Raw genomic sequence first — 24,703 nt, 5'->3', positions numbered from 1 at the left:
TCAATAAAGGCGAGGCTATGGGTAGAAAGGGACCTTGTAGAACATATCACAGGGCTTCGTGGAAGTTCTTTGTTGCGTATGTATGCTCCATGGCCCCTGGGAGGGCCCCAAGTAACAATCTAGACCAAGGATTGAAAAGTTTTTATGTAAAAGACCAGATGGTAAATATTTTCGGCTTTTCAGGCCATATGATCTATTGCAACTTTGTACAAAGGCAGCCATAGGCAATATATAAATTAATGTCTATGTCTGTTTTCCCATAAAACTTTACTTACAAAAACAGGTAGTGGCCAGATTTGGCCTACAGGCTGGAGTTTTCTAACAGCTGGTCTAAGCAGTCAGGAAGTCTGTGAAGATTTGGGGCGTGTAGCTTTAAGCAATAGGTCTGGCTTCTGAGCAGGGTGAAACACTTTTTAAATAATTTGCAATTGTAATCTGTCCAGCCTGGTTAAGAATTAAGTATGTGACAACCGGTGGCCTTATGTGACAACTGGTGACAGTCAAGAGGAGACCTCTTGTTCCTAGAGGAACAAGACTGACCACAGAAAAGCCTTGTCTGCTCTCAGACAAATTCAGTGCTTTTTTCAGCCACCAACCAACTCTATAATGCTTGGAGAACTAAAGGCAAGAAGATGAAATTAAGTCAATTACTTAAGAAGCACTGAACTCAAAGCAAGGAGACCTGAGGTCCAGTCCCAGCCTTGCTACTTACTATCTGTATGAGTCAGTTATTTTATGACTGTGATCAAGTTTTCCCCAGCTAAGAAATAAGGGATTCTGGTGTTTCTCCAAGTGTCATCTGAATCAGAATCATTTAGGTTACTTATCCAAAAGGCAGATTTCTGGGCACCACCCTAGACCTCTATTGAATTATAATCTCCGAGGTTTGGGGCCTGGTAATATGTATGAACAGCATGAGCTCTGGGGATTTTAAAATCCAGTAAAGTTTCAGACCCACTGGACAAGAAAGACACTCTTCTAGCACACCTTCCAGCCCAACGTTCTGGCCTCTCTGAAATGTAGTTAAAGTATACCATCTTCTGTTGTTCTCAGGAAGAAATGCCTGTTAACTATACAATACACATGGAATTAATTGGAGCCTTGCGGAATTTTGGAAAGAATAACCAGCCTCATCTATATCTCTACTTGGAGAAATGGCTTCTTGGCCTGGGCTAATGGTGTTACTTGACAATCAGAAGGGGAAAAAGTCATAACTTCACTCCCTTTTCCTCAGGCCAAAATGCGAATTTGAAACTCATTCCGAATGCCTTTCCAGGGAGGTGGCCACAGCTGATGAAAGACCTCACGCTTGTTCCAACAGGCCCTGGGAGCTGAATTGTATCCCTGAAACTGGCCTAGCTTCCTTCAGCTCAACAGAGCAGCTGAAAGGTAAATGGTGCATACGCGTGTGTGCATGTGTGTATAGTATGTATGTGGGGTGAGAGTTATGTATGCAGTACGTGTGTATGTGCATGGTGTTTGGTTTGTGGTGTGTGTGTGTGGTATGTTCATGTGGTGTGTATATATGTGTATGTCTGGTGTTTGGTGTATCCAATATGGTGTTTGTGTATGCATATACAGGTATATGTATGTATTTGTGTTGTGTGTGGTATATGTGGTGCTTTTGTGTTTGTGGCATGCGTATATTGTGGATGTATGTGTGCATGGCGTTATGTGTGTATGTTGTGTGTTTGTTATGTATATGAGTGTGCCTGGTGATTGTGTGGTGTACAGACAAGCACACAGTGCTTCGTGTATGGTACACGTGATGTTTGTGTCTGTCTTGGGTGTATGTTGTATACATATGTGGGAATGTGTGGTGTGTATGGTGTTTATACAAGTACGTATATGTTTAGGGAGGGTCGTGGAGGATTGTCAGCCAAGAGAGTCGAGGTTCATAAATTCAATAGGTCCTACTATGTGCCAGCCCCAGGCTAGGTAATGAAAGTACAGAGATAAGTTAGAACAAGTCACTACCCTGGAAAACCTCAGAGCCCAGCATGCAAATTTTCCCGAGTGTTATAAACCAGGCACTTGCCTCACATCATATTTACAGCAACGCCTTTGAGATAGAGATTGTGATTATTCCCATTTAATATCCAGGGAAGACTGAGACTAAAGAAGGTTAACTACGGAGCACTGTAACAAACCTAAAGAACTTGAACCCAGGCAGGTCAGATTCCAGAGCCCATGTCATTAGCCTCCGTCATCACAGTAGCTAACTTGTATTGAGTGCTTTGCCTGCTTCATGATCTCGTGAAGGTTCTCAGGACAACCCCGTGAGTTAGACACTGTTACCATTCCCGCTGTGCCAAGGAGTGAATGGCCCAAGACCACAGAGTCAGTTAATGGCAGAGCTAGGATTTGGACCTAGGCAGCCTTGCTCCAGGGTGTCTGCCCCAAGGGTTTTGTTTCTTTGTTTCTCAAAGACAGACAAGCATGGAAATGAATGACAACTCAGAAGATGCTTGTACAAAGCTTAGAGGAAGAAAAAAATAACTTTCAAAGGACTCCGGGGAGGGCTTCCTCCGGGAAGTGTCATCTATTTTCTTGCACTTACAAACCTGACTCTGGGCGAAATAGCAGAGTCCAAGTTTTAGCCATGACTTTAAAGACCAAGAGAGAGAGAGAGTTTGATGGTCGTAATTTCCTACCTGTTTGATTTGTCCTTGGTTGGACAGGGAGCAGGGAGCCATGTTTTATCTCTTTTTCCCTTTTATTTTTTTGGACGTAAACTCCCTTAATGTAATGTAAAATGCCTCCACCAGTCGCATCAGTAGCCTTTTATAGTGTCCCCTCTTCCCCAGAAGCTAGAGAGTAGTTAAGGGCAGTCCAGTTTGCACAGATGGAAGCAGGGACCAGGGAATATACAAGGTTTGTATAAGCAGAATAGTGCAGACCAGGGAGCAAGGGGCTGGGGCATTGGAGAGAAAGCCTCATTGTGTATTTTGTTCCCAGCTCTGCCAGCGTTTCTAGTCTTCTTTCCAAAGCAATTGGAGATTATTTCACAATCCACTCATGAACACACTTATGATTTCACAAAACACTACATGTTTCAGAAACAGGTCCGACTAAGCTATAGTCCCAAAAGATAGTTTTACCTTCACAGGCTTGGGTTTAGCAGCACAGAACATTAATGACTGGAACCAGAAGTCTTAAATTTGTTGGAATTATATTGTGCTTGCTATGTAAAAAAAAAAAAAAAAAGATATTGAAAACAAAATATATAAAAGAATGATCAAACTTAAATATTTGCAGAAACTGCACCAAAGGCATTTTAGTAGGCCAAATGAATCCACTCCTCAAATCACCTGGAGAGTGCGAGCGTGTGTATGTGTGCGTGTGTGTGTGCACACATCACTTCTGGCCACCTTGCATCTGCATACTTCCAGGGTTGGGAGGTCACTGCTTGCCCAGCAAGCTAACCCACTGTTTTGAAGCTCTGATGGTTAGGATGGATTCCTTTGTTGTTGTTGTTGTTGTGTAGTTGTTGTTTTGAGACAGAGTCTGGCTCTGTAGCCCAGGCTGTAGTGCAGTGACGCAATCTCAGCTCACTGCAGCCTCCGCCTCCTGGGTTCAAGCGAGTCTCCTGCCTCAGCTTCCCGAGTAGCTGGGACTACAGATGTGCACCACCACGCCTGGCTAATTATTGTATTTTTAGTAGGGATGGGGTTTCACCATGTTAGCCAGGCTAGTCTAGAAATCCTGGCCTGCTTCAGCCTCCCAAAATGTTGTGATTACAGGCATGAGCCACAGTGTCTGGCAGGATGGATTTCTAATAATATTCACCATTTGTCCTAGTTCTGACTTCTGAATCCATACAGAGTCAATTTTGAATACTTTTTAGTGACTTCAAAACATTTTTGGAAGAAAGACATGAAAAGCAAACATGTATATAAGTAAAATGAAGAAACAAACAGATTCTTTGCCACATAAGAGCCCACTGATGATCTAATAACTTATTGCCTAATAAATCACTCTAGGCAATTTCTTTTTCATCTGGCTTAAATATAACTCTTGCCTGTCTTCAATGCCCATATCCCAAGTCACATGACTCTCTCCCCAGACACACATGTGTCTTCACACATGCACACACACTGCCAACTGGCAGGCTCAGCAATCCTTTAAAACTCTGATGGATATTGTCCTTAGGTAAAGTGTGATTTCCTCAGGAGACACCCTTTGGAGTTAACCTTGCGGACTGCTTCAGCCCTGATCCATCACTGTTACAATTGCTTCATTTCATACTCCTGGACCCTACTCTCTAACTTGTAGCTTGGTACAATACCGACTCTCGTTACCACTTCTAGAGTGTGTCCCTGTCTTAAACCACTCTTCTTAATGATTGAGTCCACTCCTATCACACTTGTTTCTCCTTGGACTGAAGCCTTGATCCCAGGCTCCTAGTTGCTGATCCTCCTGACCCCATGACACTAGGCATTTTAGCAAACCCAGGTTTCATCTCAATCAAGCAATTAAATGCTTATCAAAGAGGCCAATGTTAGATATGAGTTCTAAATTTCTTTTCAAAAAATTAATATGTCAGTATGTTCAATTCTTTGCCTTCTACTTTTAAATTTAACTTCCTTGTAAAGCAACCTTTTTCAATTACCTACTCCACCCTAACTCATTCCAGTTACCTACTCCACCCTAACTCACCTGCTCCACCCTACTACATTCCAATCACCTGCTCCACCCTAACTCATTCCAATTACCTGCTACCTGCTCTGCCCTGACTCCCGCCAAAGCACTCACCCAGTCATTCTATTTAAATTAGCCAATCAAAATTAGTTTAACCTGTGCAGTCTAACCCTAGCCAATAGGAAAATGACACAGCAGCAGGGGCCACGTGCGTCAGGGATAAAATCCCCTTCCCCTCCCTTGTCCAAGTGTGCACTCACCATTGCTCCACCTGTAAGGGCGCACCCTTCTATATAAAAATAACTTGCCTTGCTAAAAATTTAAAAAAAGTATTAATTTTTAAACTTTTATTAAATTTATTTAATAAAATTTATTAAATATTTAATTTTTAATTTAAAAAATTTATTAAAATTCTTTTTAATTTATATTCAAATGCTATTTCTTTTGCAACACCAAAATTTTATATATAACACCAAGAACAGACAGATATGGTGGGTAGCTAAAGACTGCCCCATTCCAATGTATATGTATTGAAGTTTACTATCTTCTAGGCTTCATTTCTCAAGTGTTTCCTCCAAAATCTTCTGAAGGAAACTTCCACATCCTTGACTGAAATTGACTCACATGGCATCAGTTGCACCTGATGCTTTGCTAGCCTGACACTCCATCAGAAAAGAAGGTGAATTTGACATCAGTTCTTCTTATATTTATGTAACCCATACTACTTCTTGTTGATCACTGCTTCCTTCTTTAAGTGATGAAATAAAATAGATATATCTTGATATATAGATACATAATTATTAATTGTAGTTTTCTTGGGGACAAATATCAGACTTAGATGTCCACCGTAGCATTCATCTTTTCTTCCTTAACATTGAATTTGTCCATCTTCAGTCCCCTGAAGTTCATCTCTGCAGTTCCTCTGAGATTACTCACAGTTACAGTTGTTTTTTTAATTCTTAGCAGGAAAAGCATGAGATTTAGATGTGACTTTCAATCTTGTCTCTTATTGAATAATGTATTCAAGGGGGTGACCATGGGCAAATAATTTACTTTCTTTGTACCACAGTCTCCTCAGCTGTAAAATGGATGTAATAATATTTGTCTTCCAGAGTTGTTGTGAGAAAGGAATTCAGTAGCATCCCTAAAATACCTGATGCAGTGCTTGTGTGTCTTTTCATAAATATCTATCCTTGCCCCGTGGGAATCAGCTCTTTTTATTTCTGCATCTTGACCTCACATGGAGCTTCCGCATCTTGAACTCTGTGCTTTCACCACATTTCCTCACGTATCCTTGTCTCCACGTTCTTCCTTTTCCAGATGGAAGATCATTCTCCTTGACAGAGATGACACATTTTACCAGATGAATACAGCTCTGTTTTCTCACTGTCATCTGTCAGCATTATGTCTTCTGCCCTGAGCAATGAGTCTCTTCCTCCCTTACTCTCTTTATTGTGAAAGTTGCTTTTAATGACTCTCACTCTCACTGCCAGTACCTTTTATTCTGAGTGTTTTTCACAAGTCTCAGTTTATTCACAAGAACTTATTAAAGGCTTATTATGTCCAGTATGCACTCAATGTTGAGGACACTGATGAACAGAGAGACAGGGTCCCTACTGTCACGCATCTTCTAGACAGCACTGGTTTCCTGTAGCTGAAGCTGGGTTTAACTTGTGCCTCAAATCCTGGGGTGAGTGTAGCACATGATGGAACCAGGATTCCAATCTAGGTGACCTTTCTGCCATATGATGTTGGCACAAAGAACACTTTTTGAGAAGCCTGACCAGCATCAAGGAAATATTATGAAGTGGGCTGTCAGGAGGCCCCATGATCCTCCTCCTGACATCACCTGCCTCCATTCAACAGATTATCAACTAATCCTTATTAAATGATCACTGGCTAGGGTAGTTAAGGTGCAACTGATAACAACTAGGGTGTGAACCACTTCTGGTGAAAATGGAGTGGCTTATTCATATCTATTTCCAGAGAGAGTGAGAAATGATTTAAGTGTCTGTCCTTCCTCCCATCACTTAACAGTAAGCCTTAATTGAACATTTCCACAGCTCTTACGCATTAACCTCTAAATACAGTGAACAAAAGATCCTTGTATTCCATGATTACACATGCTTATGTGATCCACATCCTCATATGATTACCTTATGAATCCACTCCCTTCTTTATTCATTCTCCATGTAGTGAGGTATAAACAGTGCTTTGGAGCAGTGGGTAGGAGATCTGGGCTATCGTCTTGCTCTTGTCACATGGTCACTGTGTGTGACCATGGGGGACGTTGCTGTACCATTTCTTCAACTGTAACAGAAAGGAGCTGGACTCAAAAAACCTTAAAAGGAGGTTCTGCTCTAAAGTTCCAAGTGGTTAATTGCCCCAGTTTGAGAGACACTTGGCTGTGCACAGATGTTAGCAATCTGCATCCTGCCCAAACACAATTAGCTCTGTAGAAACAAGGACAGAGCTCAAGGGGGCTCCCACGAGGCCTGAGCATTCATCTTCTTGCCTGAGAGTTCATTGACTCATTCAGACAGTATTCCTGGGGAAAAATGAAACTGGACCTATGGCAGGAGGCTTGCATCCTGGCTTTGTCACTTATGTGCTGTGTGGCTTTAAGGAAGCCATTCACCTCTCTGATCTCTGTTACTTCCTCTGTAAATCAGGCATAGTGGTACACCTGTTCACAGCAGTGGCAGGACTAGAATATTCGTAAGACTAAAGTATTGATCTGATTTGAAGACAGTCTGGCGGATCTTCCTTGAGTCTGTAATTGTGAAGGTAGCAAGAACAAGCACAGTGAAATTACTTACGTTGCTTGATATTTGAGGTAGTTTGAATGAGGTCACTGAGGTAGGCTGTGTGAGGTCGTGGGACCCAAGGCTCCTCAACTTACCCCAATGGAACCGTGATTATTCAAAGAGCAATTGAGAAATTCAATGTGATTCCATAAACCAAAGTGCCTGGCACGTGCTCAAAGAAATAGAACAACATAGTAGTTTTGCATGTGAGCCTGTTTGTGCCAGATCCCAGGTTAAGCACACATAACTGAAAAGTCCTTTGCCCTGCAATATGGCCCACCCTAAGGAAGCAAGATAGCATTTTATAGGGGCAGCATCTTAAAAAAACAATGTAATCCTCTCTTAGGAAATCCAGACTTAGCTTTTAAAGTTTAAGATTGCTGAGATGATAGAACATTTCAAATGGTTGCTGCACAGCTCAGTCAGCACCTGGTTACAGCATGGTGCCTGCAGAGTGGAAGAGTCAAGATGTGCTCATCCAGCTTTAACACTTAGAAACTGAATGCGCGCCTGGCACCTAGCAGACCCTCAATACATGTTCAGTCAAGGAATGGATGAATTAGTGAGTTAATGTATAAATGGAGAAAACTAAAATATTTTATGAGACCAGTGCTGTGAATTTTCAGTTTCACACTTACCCAATCCACAAGGGAGTCAATCCAGAGGCAAAATTCACGGATTCACATATCTCTCCTGAGAAAACACATGTTGAAATGTCATGGGAAGAAAATATGTGAAATTTTTGTCATGTCATGGGAGTACTTCCAAGTATTTCGATTTTCTTTTCTTTTTTTTTTTTTTTTTTTTTTTTTTTTACTCTTATTACAGCCCTGGCAAATCCTACTCAGAGATTAAAAAGAAGAACTTCCAGCTGGGCATGGTGGCTCACGCCTGTAATCCCAGCACTCTGGGAGGCCGAGGCAGGCAGATTACTTGAGGTCTGGAGTTGGTGACCAGCGTGGCCAATATGACAAAACCCCATCTCTACTAAAAACACAAAAATTAGCTGTGTGCGGTGGGCGCCACCTATAATCCCCGCTACTTGGAAGGCTGAGGCAGGAGAATCACTTGAACCCAAGAAGTGGATGTTGCAGTGAACCGAGATCATGCCACTGCACTCCAGCCTGGGTGACAGAGCAAGACTCCATCTCAAAAAAAAAAAAAAAAAAAAAAAAAAGAACATCCTCAGTAACAGAAGTCTATTTTCTCAGTTGGGCACATGTCTGCCTAAAATAAACATGAACATTTTCCCACCTCTGTTGAAACTAGACATGGCCACATGACACATTCTGCCCAGTGGGGTGTGAGCAACGTGCTGATGGTGGCTTCCTGGAATGTTCTTAATGGGAGGGAGCTGTTCTTGCCTTCCCCTTTCTCCTTGGTTGCTGGCTGGAAGTGCCAGCCTAGTTAATAAGATAAACTTGGGAATGGAAGCCACGCGTGAAAGAGTAAAAGCTAGGAAGACTTTGGTCCTGAATACAACGCCTTCCGACCTTACCTAAGAGAGGAGTAAACCTCCATCTTAAACTAAACTGTATTTTGGGATTTTGCCTGGCATATAGTTGAAGCTAACCCTGACTTATAGAGTAACACTCAGAAACTCTGGAAATGCCATTCACACAACATGCTCCAACAAAATGAACACTGAGCTAGGAGGCAGCAAACTGAGTTCTGAGCTTTTAGCACTATTTAGCTTGTTCATATTCAACAAATCATTTCCTTTCTTATGATTCAGTTTTCCATTCAGTAGAATGCAGGCATTAAATTAGGACTTCCTCTCCAAAGTTACCATCCTTAATAATTCTTAGAAGAATATAGCACGAGCTACTGTATGAAAGATCATATCAAGGTTAAGGATTAGGAAAAAAAAATAGTCTAGTGTTAAATTAAGTCAACAAATATTTGTTGTGCACCTAACTCATCTCAGGTACTGCAATAGGTACTAGAAATGTGGAGGCGAACTAAACAGATACCGCTCCTGCCCCTGTGAAGAATACTATCTAGTTAAGAGGAAAGGCATTAAAAATATTGCTAAATGCAATGGCAACAAAAGCCCAAGTTGACAAATGGGATCTAATTAAACTAAAGAGCTTCTGCACAGCAAAAGAAATTATCATCAGAGTGAACATGTAACCTACAAAATGGGAGAAAATTTTTGCAATCTATCCATCTGACAAAGGGCTAATATCCAGAATCTACAAAGAACTTGAACAAATTTACAAGAAAAAAACAAACAACCCCATCAAAAAGTGGACGAAGGATATGAACAGACACATCTCAAAAGAAGACATTTATGTGGCCAACAAACATATGAAAAAAAGCTCATCATCACTGGTCATTAGAGAAATGCAAATCAAAACCGCAATGAAATACCATTTCATACCAGTTAAAATGGCAATCATCAAAAAGTCAGGAAACAACAGATGCTAGAGAGGATGTGAAGAAATAGGAATGCTTTTACACTATTGGTGGGAGTATAAATTAGTTCAACTATTGTGGAAGACAGTGTGGTGATTCTTCAAGGATCTAGAACCAGAAATACCATTTGACCCAGCAATCCCATTGCTGGGTATATACCCAAAGGATTATAAATCATTCTACTATAAAGACACATGCACACGCATGTTTCTTGCAGCACTATTTACAATTGCAAAGACTTGGAACCAACCCAAATGCCCATCAATGATAGACGGGATAAAGAAAATGTGATGCATATACACAATGGAATACTATGCAGCCATAAAAAAGGATGAGTTCATGTCCTTTGCAGGCACATGGATGAAGCTGGAAATCATCATTCTCAGCAAACTGACACAGGATCAGAAAACCAAACACCGCATGTTCTCACTCATAGGTGGGACTTGAACAATGAGAACACTTCGACACAGGGCGGGGAACATCACACACTGGGGCCCGTCAGGGAGTGTGGGGCTAGGGAGGGATAGCATTAGAAGAAATACCTAATGTAGATGATGTGTTGATGGGTGCAACAAACCACCATGGCACATGTATACCCATGTAACAAACCTGCACGTTCTGCACATGTATCCTTGAACTTAAAGTATAATAATATAAAAAATTGCTAAATGATTATAAAAAGATTTGTGTAAAAAAGAAGTCTGTATGTTATGAGACCATGGGTTAGCGGGGCATTACTTGGTTGTGGGAGGAGGGAATCATAAAGGAATGCATGCAGGAATGCATATTTCAACTGAAATATGAAGACTGAATGGGGCTTAACTAGGTGAAGAGCAGAAAGAAAAAAATACTGAAAAATCAGCTTACAAGAATCTTAAAAGTTTCATAAGGACAAGTTGATCAGGCTTATGAAGCCAGAAGAAAAGACTTATGGGTTTACTCTTTCCCAGACCTGACCCTATTAGAAATTGATACCTCCAAGCAAAATTTCCACCCAATCCTTAACACTTCTGCTTTTCAACTCTGGAAGATATTTTTTCTTGAAGTTGCAATACTGAGCATTTTTAGATAATCACCTTTTCATGTGTACTGCAGTTTTCAATTAGCTGTTTGCAAAGCAGGGTCACAGGTATAATCTTGGGTAATATAGGCAGTAGATAGTACTATCCTCAGTTACAGGGGCAGGAATGAAAAATTGGTGAGATTAAGTTACATACATGTGGTCAAACAGTTAATAAGTGATGGGACCTGAACTTTCTTCATCCTCTGGCCAGTGTTCTAACCATCCCTCTCTTTCTAGGGCAGAGGTCATTTGCACATATAAAAGTGACCATCAAGAAAGTAACTAATTTATTCCTTTGAAAGGAATGTTGGCCAATTAACCCAATAATGCTAGTTGGAGAGATTACGGTCAAATGATTTCTTCATCCAGGATCATTTTAGAGCATTTTGGAGTTCAGATTTTGGAATGTGGGATAGTCAACCAGTACTAACTCTATCTAGAGGGGTGGCCATGGTTAAACAAGACAGTGCATGGAAAGCAAGTAAAACACTGCCTGACACACGCGGGGCCTCGATACCTGTCAGGTGCTATTACTATTGTATTGCCCATCCTTCAAGACTGAGAGCTATGGGAGTACTTCCTTCAAACTGCTCGGATCTCTCAAGATTATATTAACTGTCTTTCTTATGTGTGCCCCTGGTTTATCTCTATCACAGGATTGACAACAATCTATTTTTACTGAACAGTTCCATTTCTCTTTACCACGGAGTGGCTGAGGAGGCAGATGCCATGTCTTCTCTATGTTTGTATTTGCAACACATAGCATGAGAACTGTTTGTTTTTGTTTTTGTTTGTTTTGTTTTGTTTTGTTTTGTTTGAGATGGAGTTTCACTCTTGTTGCCCAGGCTGGAGTGCAATGGCGTGATCTTGGCTCACCACGATCTCTGCCTCCTGGGTTCAAGCGATTCTCCTGTCTCAGCTTCCCGAGTAGCTGGGATTACAGGCATGCGCCACCACGCCCGGCTAATTTTGTATTTTTAGTAGAGATGGGGTTTCTCCATGTTGGTCAGGCTGGTCTCGAACTCGCAACCTCAAGTGATCCACCCGCCTTGGCCAACCAAAGTGTTGGGATTACAGGTGTGAGCCACCGTACCCGGCCCGGAACTGGTTTTGTAAAAGCTTAAAAATGTTTAATGCACCAAATATAACTTTAGAATCAGCTGCTCTTCAAAGAGGTGTTTCTGGCTCTTTTTCACTCCAAACTAGATAAGTCATTCTGTTTTATTCCCCATAACAGCAACACTTTTGCATTTCACAGCTCTATTTACCTTTGCAAATCCTCATTCCCGCACTAGACTGGAAGCCCCCTGAAAGAAGCCACTCCATCTGCAGGGCATCTCCCAGTGTCTATTTGCTGAAAGTATGCATGAACAGTGCTGAGACTGCTCTGAGAAATGAAGTTACTAGAAATGCAGCAATTGCACTGATAAAAACAGCGACACGGGCCTTGAGTGGGTGGCCCAGCCTTGCTCACGCTTCCTGCTTCCTCCAGAGCTCTATGTTTGCACAGCCCAAATACTCTACTCTCTGTGTGGCAAAGCTTTGGAATTTGGCTCTAAAATCAGGGGAAAGGAAGCAGAGGGGCCAGGGAGTCATTTGCAATGACTGTCCTGAGATCCTGTTTCATCATGTGTATGCACCTAGTGACACATCAGGGAACTTTTTTCCAGGAGCAAGCTTTTTTCTTCCCCTCCACTTGTGCATATGTTGAAAGATCACACATACGTTTTCAATGAAGTCACTGACGATCATGGGAAGCCAGCAGTAACAGCTGGTGTGTCCGAATTACCCGGAGGCGATTTAATCTTTTGGCCTCACATTGGGAAAGCAGTTTAAGGAAGGTAGGCTCCTTTAAAACAACAACAAAACTGCAGATAGGAAGAGGACAAGAACAACACGGAGAAATTGTACGGCTTTAGGCAGCTGCTGCTGTTACTAAAAGCTAGGAAAGGACGCAGGAGGGGCCTGAAGCCCGTGGATGAAAGTGAGGGTTGTTATCAACAGCAGGGTGGCCGGGACTAGTGCTCCTGGGAGAATATCATTTCCTTTGTGGAATGAGATACCAGAAGGTTTCCAACTCCCAGCAAATCAGCCTAGGGCGGTCTGGGATTGAGGATCTTTCTGATCTGTAATGCCTGGACTCATAAACAATGTCAGTATCACTCGTGAGAGATGAGTAACAGGAGAGGCACAATTAGCAGGCCAGAGAGTCCTGCAAACAGTCATTAAAGTCTTGAAGGATCTGGGCAGCAGTGTGGTACAGCTGTTGAGCATGTCAATTAGGGATTCAGAGGTAGGGTGGGGGAGAGAATGCCGTTCCAAGGAAGCCAGCAGTTCTCACCCTGACTGGTGGCACGGCAAGCTACTGTATCATACAACAGGGCCTCTTCCCCCCGCCCCCACCAAAAAAAAGCAAAAGAGAGAAGAGGATCGAGAGGTCCCAGATATGAATTTCCTGCTGCACTTAAAGAGCTACATGTTTAGCCAAGATTTCATGATCAGAGTTTTGTACATCGGTTATTAAAAGAAACCATTCTTCAAAAGGAAAGTTTAGTTTTCCCTGAAACTGGAGCATTTGCTTAATCAAAAGGAACAGTGCACCAGGGGAAATGACCACCTCTGCTATTACAAGTAATGGGATTGAAAATTTCCTATCATAATTTACTCATTAGTCCAAAAAGCTTTATTATATCGCGGTCACAAAGATAAATAATGTCTAGTTACTGACCTTGAAAAATGCACCTGTAATATGGTAGAGAAAGCCGCACAAACAGGTAATTACAGTACAACAGAGCATGTGCTGCAATGGAGGTGGGTGCCCACTGAAGATGGGACGGATCAGGCTGTGCTGGGACTGGGAGGCTGAGAACTGGAGGCCAGAGAGCAGCAGTAAGAAAAGGGAGGGTAAAGATAATGAGGTGCAGAGCGGTCTCCTTACTGTGTTTTTGCATATAAACTTGTGCGGTCCTTCACGGCTCCTTAAACATAGGCTAATTGGTACTTTTCTCCTTTCCTGAAATTTCTTCAACCTTCTTTCATTTTTCCTCTCAACAACCTTCCATTCCGATTTTACTCATTCTTGCCATATGCTTCCTGCCTGTGAATGTCAGTGTCTGTGTTACTCCTGATGTGTGGAACAACCTCCCAGGATTTTAAGTGTCTCAGACAACCAATCATTCCAGTCTTTTCCTTTGCCTCTTGATATGGTTTGGCTGTGTCCCCACTGAAATCTCATCTTGAATTGCAGCTCCTGTAATCCCCACGTGTCGTGGAAGGGACCCGGTAGGAGGTAACTGAATCATGGGAGCAAGATATTCCTGTGCTGTTCTCATGATAGTGAATAAGTCTCATGAGATCTGATGGTTTTTATAAAGGGGAGTTCCCCTACACACACTCTTCTTGGCTGCCACCATGTAAGATGTGCCTTTGCTTGCTCTTCACTTTCCGCCATGATTGTGAGGCCTCCCCAGCCATGAGGAACGGTGAGCCCATTAAACCTCTTTCCTTTCAAATTACCCAGTCTTGGGTATTTATTCATAGCAATATGAGAATGGACTAATACAAATTCCTATCCTACCTCCCTCCTGAACTCATGTGGCAAAGGTTTTTGCTTTTATTTATTTTTGCTTGACAATGAACAAGAGAAAATAATAGGTAGCTGAGGAAGTTAATATAGAAGACGGTTCCTATTTCTTTGCAAATATTTCCAGGAAAGTGACATAACCAGGGCTTTGAAACAAACTGGCTTTTCATTACTATTGCCTCATTGAATACTCAAATCATTTTTACTTGAGGCATACAATAAAGAGCTGCATATTGGGTGGTATAATTTTTGACTTCAGGATGTTTTAGAAGATTTGGGGTACTTCTATCTCTCATAATATTTCCCTTTTAGAAATTCATCCCCACCCCACCAACCACCACCATGTTCTTTTTGAGTTGGTCACTTATATGGTCCAGCCTGTGATGACACAGGGTTGGGACCATGACTCAAACTGGTCACAGTGTCCCATTTCCCTGGCCATAGGGATTGGTTTAGACATGAGGACATGACACAGGCCAGAAAAATCCTGAAGCCATTGACAAAAACAACCATCTGGTTTATCTGAAACTGCTAACAGCATGTGTTATAATCTTGGACAGTGTATGGAGAAGATTTAAGTGAGAATAAGCTAACACAGAAAAGCAGGAGGAAAGAGGGAGAGAGAAAGAAAGAGACTAAATGAATTTTTTGTCTTTGAATCCAGCTATGTTCAAAACTAGAGCTACCTTCTTAAACTTCCCAGATATGTAAATCTTTTAACTCTGCCTTTTGTTAAGTTGATTTCCATTAAGTTTGTGGCTCTTGTAAGCCAAAGCATTTTTTCAAATCAAATTGAATAGACATATATCACACTGATGTTAATAACATCTTAAATGAAAACAGGTTTATCAGAGTAAAGTGGAAAAAAAATGGGTTATATAGTAAAAAAAGAAAATGAAGAAAGATACAACTGAGACAATACATGATGAAAAAAGGCTCAATTTGCCAGGGAAAAAGTAGCAATCCTAAATATAAAATATATATATGTATACATACATACACATATGCGCCAAACGACAGAGCTTCAAAATAAATGAAGCAAAAACTGATAGAGTTGAAAGGAGAAACAAACAATTCCAAAATGATACTTAGGGACTCTGACATCCAACTCATGGCAAATGACAGAATGACTGGATAGAAAAGCAGCAAGGACATACAGGAAAATGACCTCACCTTGAGAAAGAACATCTGCAACACGCCTACGCAACCTCATGCTTAAAGGTGAAAAGACTCAACGCTTTCCCCCTAATATCAAGAACAAGGCCAAGACATCCACCCTCTCTGTTCTTATTCAACACAGTGATGAAAGTTCAAGCAAGCACAATAAAGAAAGAAACATAAATAAATAAAAGGCATACAGATTGGAAAGGAAGAAATAAAATATTCCAAGGAATCTACCAAAAATAAAAATTATCCTAGAACCACACAGAGCACAAGATCAAGATAGAAAATCATTTGCATTTCTTTATACTGACAGCAAACATTTGGAAACAAGTTAAAAGCACAATACCATTGGCAATTACACCAAAGAAAGTGAAATACTATGGTGCAAATCTGACAGAAGATGTAAAGGATCTCCCTTCTGAAAATTACAGGGGCCTTTTCTTAACTAGTGAAAGTTCCTTTGGGCTGTTCTCATGTCCATCTGGAATTTTTCCCATTTCCTGCCTGAATTCCTGGATTCTCGGATGATTCTTGTCTTCCTGTCAAAATCAAGAGATGTCAGATGAGGACCATGATAAAGCCAGTTGTAAGTTTTCTGATGTCTACACCAAGAAACTCACACTTAGTGGGATGTCTGCTCTCAGGTAGAACCTAACCAACCAGTTAGGAGATACCAAGAGCATAGTCTTTAATGCCTGGGAGGACGGGAGCAAGCAGAGATCTTGGTTAATAAAAGCGTTCAAAAATCTATTTGTGAAATCAATGTTTATTCACTTAATTAGAAATAAATATGTAAATAAATGGAATTCTGTCGAATAAGTAAAACCCAATTGTGGCACATGTTCTATTTTCCCTTTAGTTTTTATTTTAGTTTTGGTTGTACATATGCAGGCTGGTTCTATAGATAAACTGTGTGTTACAGGAGTTTGGTGTACATATTATGTTGTCACTCAGGTAATAAGCATAGTACCTGATAGGTGGGTTTTGGATCCTCACCCTCCTCTGATCCTCCATCCTCAAGTAGGCCCTGATGTCTACTGTTCCCTTCTTATCTGTTTTATTTTAAGCACTTTTGTATCTTAGCAAGTTGAATCCTCACACCAATTATGTCAGTCGAACATCATTATCCTCATAATATACATGAGGGAGCCAAAACCCAGAGATATTAAATAACTGTTTGAAAACAACAAAGCTAATAGAGCCTGGATTTGCACCCATATCCCTGACTCCAAAATGTATACTCTTAAGCAATATGGTACCCTGCCTCCCAAAATTCTCAGAACATCCTATTCTAGTATAGTCATGACTGCCAAAGCAGAAAATAGCATGTAAAGTCAACAAATATAAATCAAATATCTTCAGTGAAGGAGAGACTGAATGATCCACATCTTAAAAATATGGAAATACATGCAAGCCTCATTTGCTAGAATAAACTTTGAGTAATGCTGAGTAAGCCAAACACTTTGGAAGTACTGGCAGCAAAATAAGCAACTACATCCTAAAAGGACAGAGGTCATTAAATGCTAAAAGAGGAAAAAAAAAGTATAAGCTTATTCTTGCTTCCTCTGGACAAAACTGGGGTCAATCTGTAGAAGCTACATGGAGAGAGTTCTCAGCTCACGGTCTGAGAAATTCCCAAGGAAGAATTTACAAAATTATTTCTTACAAAATGCTTTTCAATAATTATCTAACAAAATTACAATTTCTCTAATAAAACAAAACATTCTTTTGGAGAAAAATTAGGAAACACCAAAATGCAGAAAAGATGGAACCCAAATCTTTCATCACTCCACCACACAAAGGCAACAACTGTTAGCATTTAGGTTTTTCAGAAAGAGGAACATTCTCACTGTCAAAATGGTCCAGTGAAGGGTAATTGCTTTCAAAGGTAGTGAGTTCTCCGTCACTACAGGTATGTAAGCAAAGACCAGGTGGCTAGTGGATAGGGGCTGGTATAGATGGATGCAACCATAACGTGGGCAGAAAGTGGGTCTGGACTGAAGGACATTTAAGAATCCTTCCAACTTTGAAACTACAGAAATTATATGATCCAGGGAGAAAGCAGAATCCTGTCTGGTTTATTTATCAAGGATTATTTGGAATCTAGAACAGATTCTAGCACATGGTAGGTGCTCAGTAAACATATATTAAATGAAAATGAAAGAATAAAGGAAGGAAGAGGGAGAGAGAAGTAGGAAAGATGGGAAGGAAGGAGAAGGGAGGAATCCCTGATTGGGGGCAGTTTCCAGATTCAAGCCCCATTCATTTGCTCCTCAGCCATTCATTTAGCTTCTGCCGTGTGCCAAGCACTATCCTGGTTACAAGGATTCCAGATGCAGTCCCCTAGCTCAGTGTCCACTTTGGAGTCCATATTCAGTCTGACAGTCTAAAACAGGCCTTGTCTATGGGTGTGGTGGGAGTTGGGGAAGTTTGTCTCCATGAGGCTGGGGGCCCAGCGATCATTACAGGAAAGAGACACGTTTGGAAAATGACAGGTGGTTGGAACACCTGCGCTGTGTGATGTGCAGAGGTGTCTGTGTGTGTTGGGGGGGTGGCAGGGGAGTGGGCACGTGTCAGCCGACTCAAGAAGACCCTTGGAATCATTTCTCCTTCTACTGGGTAAGTAAATGGGAGACACAAACCATTTCTTCCAGGCTACAAGCTCCCCTACACCCCAAAATCCTCCCTTCCAAATTCTCCCTCCAGTCCCAACAGCAGAACTGCATTCTGTGTGGCAGAGCGGGTCCAGTGTCACTTTGCACTTACGAGTAATTTCCATTTTATCAGACCAGCTGGGGCTTGTTTTTGAGTCTGTGAAAAGATAGGAAGTGCTCAAACAGGAAGCTGGGATAAGGTTACACTGACAGATCTGTGATTCTGCCCATGACTTTAGGACAGAGGAATGTTCTGCGGCAAAACTGCATTGCTACAACCAAGTTGAAAACACATACAGATATATATACACACACATGCACCAATTTGGCTGTTTGGAGCTGCTTCTGACTCAAAGTTTGTGTTATCTTTGTTCTTTCCTGAGAAAAGCTCCTTTAGCCATATGGGCTTTCCCCTACCCTAGGTTGGCCTTCAGGATCCTCTTTTAAGGCCCCAAGCTCAAACCTCAGTTAATGGGATCTTAACGCCCACAGTTTTCCAGAAATCTTGAATCTTCCCTTTCCCGCGTCTCATATACTCAACACTCAACAAGCGCAGCATTGTCTCTGAAATGGTTCTTAGATGCATAATCTGCTCCCCCTAAGGATATTCAGGGCCCCGGGTCAGATCCTCGCATCTCTTGTCTGCATTGATGCTTCTGGTGTCTTGAATTGTCTCCTTGACTCAGTCTCTGCCCAAAAACCTTTCTCCATCTTGCTGCCAGTGTAACCTTCCTAGGGCAAAATTTGATGAAGTTATTTCCCTGCTTAGATATTCCTAGTGGTTCCTTATCCTCAGTCATGCTGCTCCAAGCATGGTCTGCGGATGGGCACCAGCCTGTGAACTTTGTCCCTGTCCCTGAAAGATAAGTACGAAAGCAGAGAGAGCATTTGGAAGTATCTATGGACATTTGACATCGCCATGTTATCCACATGTGTGGTAAGTAGACTGGTGTCATTAAACAGAGTCTACCCAGGGTGTTGTGGAACTCACACGGTAAGTCACCTGTGGGGCCAACTCCATACGCTTAATCGGTGCACGGTTGGGGTAAGAACAACCACCACAACTGGTCCTGTACCACAGACAGTGTGAGAAGCACAGCTCTACAGGATACATCCAAAGACTTCCCTCCAATTCCTTCCTGACCCAGTCTGTGTTCGTGGTTCTTCCAGTATCTCCTGAAACTCCTCCTATGCTTTCCCCCATCTGTGAAGCTGCTTGCCAGTCCTCCAAACAATATGTACATATGAATTCTTCCCGGAATGTCCTTCCCTACATTCCTTCTCTCATGTTCTTACACATCTTTCACATCTCATTGCAGCTCTGCTAGAACAGCCTCTGTGAAGCCATTTCTGTTGCCATCTCTAAGTCTCCAACACAAATATCGCCTCCTTGTGTCCTTCCACAGTACCTAGTTCATTACTGTGGCAACTTCGAATTTGGGATGAATAAGACGAAATCCCTTCTATCGAATGGTGTCTAGCCTATTTCTCTCATGAATACTTTTCTCATGAATGTTCTGTGCTGTGCCCCCTTAAAGAGACTGTGTATTAAACAGCTTTGTGTCTACAAGACCTTCATGCTGTGAGTGTAGGGAGAACTCAAGGAATGATACATTTGGGATTCATTGTGACAACGATGGTTGAGACATAAAAAGAGGTTCTGGAAAATCTTTTGTCCTCTCAGTCTCTCTGGGCTTTCATTTGTTCTTTTACCACAGGTAGGATTTGAGTTGTGGACACCCATAATTCCATGAAAGCTCAAATACTCAACTCTACAGCCAGGGAATTTACATTACCAGAACCCCTTCCCTCCAGAAACCCCTAGAAGATGGCCCTTACCCTCCCTACCTCCATCCCACGCCAGTTCCTCAGACTCCAAACACAAAAGTAGCAACCACAGAGATGCACATGCCTCCATTTCCTGGGACTTTTCTTTGGATCTTTCTTATATCACATCCCTTTAGTGATGGTGCCCTTTCATCTGCATTCACAATGCCCTGGAGTCAGGTAATTTAGATAGAAAGAAATGGAAGAATTTCAAATTTGGACTTTTTCTTTTCTAGTGAGCTGTTCAAGTGTTTAAGGCTACAAGAAAACATGGCCTAAGTCCCCAGGCTTGGCAAAGGGCATCCTACTGTCATTCACACCTAAAACAAGAGATCTCAAGTTAAACACGTTAAGTAGAAAATAGGCTGCCATTACGGGTAAGCGGGAAAATTGCCCCCGTTAAACCTACTGAATTGAGGATCGTGTTCTTCCTTTTCTCTCCTTCCTACTCTCTATATCAGATTGCACAGAAATGTGGGTTGAATATTTATTGTCCTTTGGGTTTTGAAATAGTTCTGAGTCTCCTGTCCCCCACTAGATTTCACCTCAGCAGAAAATTCTTTTTAGACCTGATCCAACGTCCAGTTCTTCATTTGGAATACACTATTTCTACCTGACCAAATTCTTTCATACCTCACATTGGAAACGTTACTAAATTGATTTAATTCATAGCCAAGTGCTCATTCTCCGTGGCATCACCTTCCCAGAAAAGTGGGCCAAATACTGAGAGCACAATCTCCCTTGTAAGCCCTGCTGGTGTTGCTTCCTCTAGTCCAGAACATGTGTCCCAAACCCCTCTATGCCTGGCTAAGTCAGCCTCATCCTTCATGTCTCACATTAGATCCCACTGCCCTGGGCCCCCTACGTGTTCCCGAAACTGGGGCAGATGACTTTTTTTTTTCCTGCTCCCATACTACCCTTGAAAACCAACCTTTGGAAGAGAAGTGATAGTAATGCGAAGGGCAACTTATCTCTACGTTGGTCCTGAGCAGAGCAAATGCCTTAATTTTGCTGTCTTCCTCTCTCAATTCAGTTTCATATAAGAAAGGTTTTCAAATGAGCAAAGATTGAAGAGGCTGACATTTTTATTTCCGCAAACAACAATTCTTCCCAGAAATACTCATTTGAGTCAGAAATATCTAACATCATGGTGAAAAATACTACAAGAATAATTGCAAAGGAGTAATTTACCTCTCTGGAATGTCCCAGTTAGGCCTAAGTATTAATGAATGCAGCTGGTGATGTTTTCTAAGACCCTATGACATGCACTTCACACTATGTCAGCACTGCTTTGTAATAGCTCCCTCCAAAAAAAAAAAAAAAAAAAACTCTCTCCATGAATTTGGCTGGTGGCTCTTGATTAGCGATTCTTTCGACCGAGACCACAGGAGAGACTGAATCTGCTATTAGCGTGTGGGGCGAGTCTCCCTGGCAGAGGTTTCTGTCCCTGCAGCAGAACGCCACTGTGTCTGTTCTCCTGTTTCAGATTCCTTTCGCTTAATTGACAGGCCAGCTTCCCTCCTCCGTCTTCTCTGGTGCCATATTCACGGGCCTGCAACACATATTAGTGTTTCCAAAGCAGTGTTCCCAGCAGGAGTTCCCACAGGGGGATACACACCCAGGAGGAAGGAGATAACGGTCTAAAAACTCGGCTTTAATTGCATTTGGATTTGGGAAACCTGTTTTGATTAACAAGTAACGCTGTGACGGCATATCTCTTACAATTTAATGAAAAGAGGTTTTTCTCCCTCCTTAAGAAAGTGAAAGAGGGAGTCAGATAACTCCGTGACACTTCCCTCCACCCACCCCCAAGCAATAATTTGATTCATGCAGGCTGAGAAATTTGATGCCAAGACTGACTGGCAAAAAAAAAAAAAAAAAACAAAAACAAAAAAACCACTTTCAAAGGGCTCTGGCGCCCTCTGCTGGTAATGGGTGCTGAGACCAGCCCTATAGGATAGAATTCGTCCTCACTGAACGTTAAAGTTGACCCATTCCACTTCACTCACTTTAAAGACCAGGACGCTGAGATTGAGAGAGCCTCACTCAGTAACAACATGCTGCTTGTTAATAGAAACTGTACTGTGATCCAAAGGACACCCTCCCATGTGAGGAACTCCCTCTTTTAAATATTGTTTCCTTACTAGCTGTGTTCTTGAACAAGTTATCGACCTTTCTTCAAAAAAAGTACCCTTCTTCAAAAGATATTTACTTGACACATCTATCTTGGGTATTATCATCATCCTGTGGATCACCAGGGTTGCTTGGATAATCGAGTTATCTAGGCTGGTGAGCTCCCCTTCTTTTCCACTGTTCCATGGGTTTGGTTAATGAGAAGATGAGTTGCAGATGGCAGTTTGTTGGTTAAAGTTACATAAATAGCTGCTCCTGCATACATCCGGTCTAAGCTCATATTTACAGCAAATTATAATCCATATAACTTTAGGACTAACTATAATATAGATGTGGTGTGTATTAGTCCACTTTCACGCTGCTGATAAAGATATATCCAAGACTGGGGTAATTTATAACAAAAAAGATGTTTAATGGACTCACATTTCCACGTGGGTGGGGAAGCCTCACAATCATGGCGGCAGCAGGCGAGAATGAAAACCACGTGAAAAGGGTTTCCCCTTACAAAATATCAGATCTCGTGAGACTTATTCACTACCACGAGAACAGCATGGGGAAAACTGCCCCCGTGATTCAATTGTCTCCCACCGGGTCCCTCCCACAACATTGTAAGAATTATGGGAGCTACAATTCAAGAGGAGATTTGGGTGGGGACACAGCCAAACCATATCATGGTGTTAATTACCAACCCTTCTTACAAATTTACTAGGACACTACCTTCTTCCTTTTGACTGAATGGTCCCTCCTCTTTCTCTTTCTCTGCCTAATTCAGCACCATCACATTTCAGGTTTACACCTGATCTGCCACTTTTCTATCTCAGAGCTAATAAGCTAATTACCAGAAGTTTGTGGAATTTCTTCATGTAAGTGTGCATATTTACCTTTAATTTGTATTATTTGGCACTATAAAAGTCTGGATGAATTCAGACATTCTGAAAGGTCTTTTAGTGTAAACTTGCTCTGATAAATTCCTTCTGCCTGTGGAAGCCATTATAAAAATGTTTGGCCCTGATAAGAAGCATTTTATAGACTTATCTGACTTTAGGCAGGAAAAGTACAATGGCTAGGTTGGATATTGCTTGGAAAACTCTTTCCCATTGTAGGGAATCCTTTTCCTCAATTATACAGTTATCATTAAATGTCAGTTATATGTGGGCTAGAAGACACAGGGAGTAAGAGAGACTGGTTACTGACTCCATAAAGCTTATATCCAGCAGAAAAAAAAAAGGTTATTGATAAAGTATTGCTTACTTCCTCTTTCCCACCACAAACCATTTTACTAATTGCAATCTATACTTAGAAGTTGACTCTAAGATGTTAAAATGACTTTTAAAATATGCACATATTTTTGACATTATTTTGCATACACACGCAAAAGCAAATTGCAAATTGTACAGAGCTATTCATGTCCTAGATGTTTTGATGTCCAGCTCATAATTTTTTAACCACATCGAAAGGCTTTAAGCTTTAGTGTTTAAAACATTGGCCAGAAGAGATAGTCAAAACATGAGCCTTCCCGTGCCTCAGTCCCCGCAGTTTTTGATTCAGTAGGTTTGAAGTCAAATCCAAGATTCTGATGTGTGTAGCCCACAGACAACACTTTAAAAAATACCATGCTTCAGCCTGCAGGTTTTTTGTCTATCAATTCAGTCATACCTTGTAAACTATTATTGTGAGAGATACACAGAGGCTTGTTGGAGACTTTCTGTGTGCCAGTCACTCTGCATGGTGCTTTCCCACAGTGGTTTAGCATAGTGGCCAAGAGCAAAAAGGGTAGACTCTCCGGGTTCAATGCCAGCTCACTTTAGTCTCTTTGTTGCCACTGTGTCATCACTGAAAGGAAGATAATAATAGTAGCTTCATCATAAAGTAATTGTGATGATAAGATGGGTTGGCAGGGCCAGGCGTGGTGGCTCACGCCTGTAATCCCAACACTTTGGGAGGCTGAAGCAGGTGGATCATGAGGTCAGGAGATTGAGACCATCCTGACCAACATGGTGAAACCCCATCTCTACTAAAAAAAAGGAAAAAAATAAAATTAGCCAGGTGTGGTGGTGCATGCCTGTAGTCCCAGCTACTCGGGAGGCTGAAGCAGGGGAATCACTTGCACCCGGGAGGTGGAGGTTGCAGTGACCCGAGATCACACCACTGCACTCCAGCCTGGTGACAGAGCGAGACTCCGTCTCAAAAAGAAAAAAGAAAAAAGAAAAAAAAATAGATGGATTGACATATGTAAAGCATTTAGCATAGCATCTAAAAAATGAAGGTGGATAATTTCACATATGTAATGGGAACATCCATGAGTTTCCATGCTACTTTTAGGTGCTAATGGCAGCATTGGTATCTAAAGGTAGCATGGAAACTCATCTATTGCTTGATATTTGGTGAACTTGAATAGAGCACTGGCTCTTTG

At 41.6% G+C, this 24,703-nt stretch overlaps 2 long non-coding RNA genes across 3 annotated transcripts in view; one reads left to right on the top strand and one right to left on the bottom strand.

Moving 5' to 3' along the window:
• The window catches only part of LOC105375751 (uncharacterized), a 463,156-nt gene that overhangs the window by 174,372 nt on the left and 264,081 nt on the right, over positions 1-24,703 (bottom strand). The window lies entirely within an intron of this gene.
• Positions 1-24,703, top strand: part of LOC105375753 (uncharacterized) — an 80,166-nt gene that overhangs the window by 301 nt on the left and 55,162 nt on the right. Inside the window, exon 2 of one of the 2 annotated variants that reach the window (XR_928636.3) lies at positions 1,235-1,389. This is a non-coding gene — a long non-coding RNA (uncharacterized LOC105375753). The remainder of the gene's footprint in view (positions 1-1,234; positions 1,390-24,703) is intronic. The other variant, XR_928638.3, reaches the window with a different exon arrangement.

This window comes from Homo sapiens, chromosome 8 (genome assembly GCF_000001405.40).
Source record: "Homo sapiens chromosome 8, GRCh38.p14 Primary Assembly".
NCBI classification, from domain to species: domain Eukaryota; kingdom Metazoa; phylum Chordata; class Mammalia; order Primates; family Hominidae; genus Homo; species Homo sapiens.
This window is presented reverse-complemented; position numbering and strand designations above follow the sequence as displayed.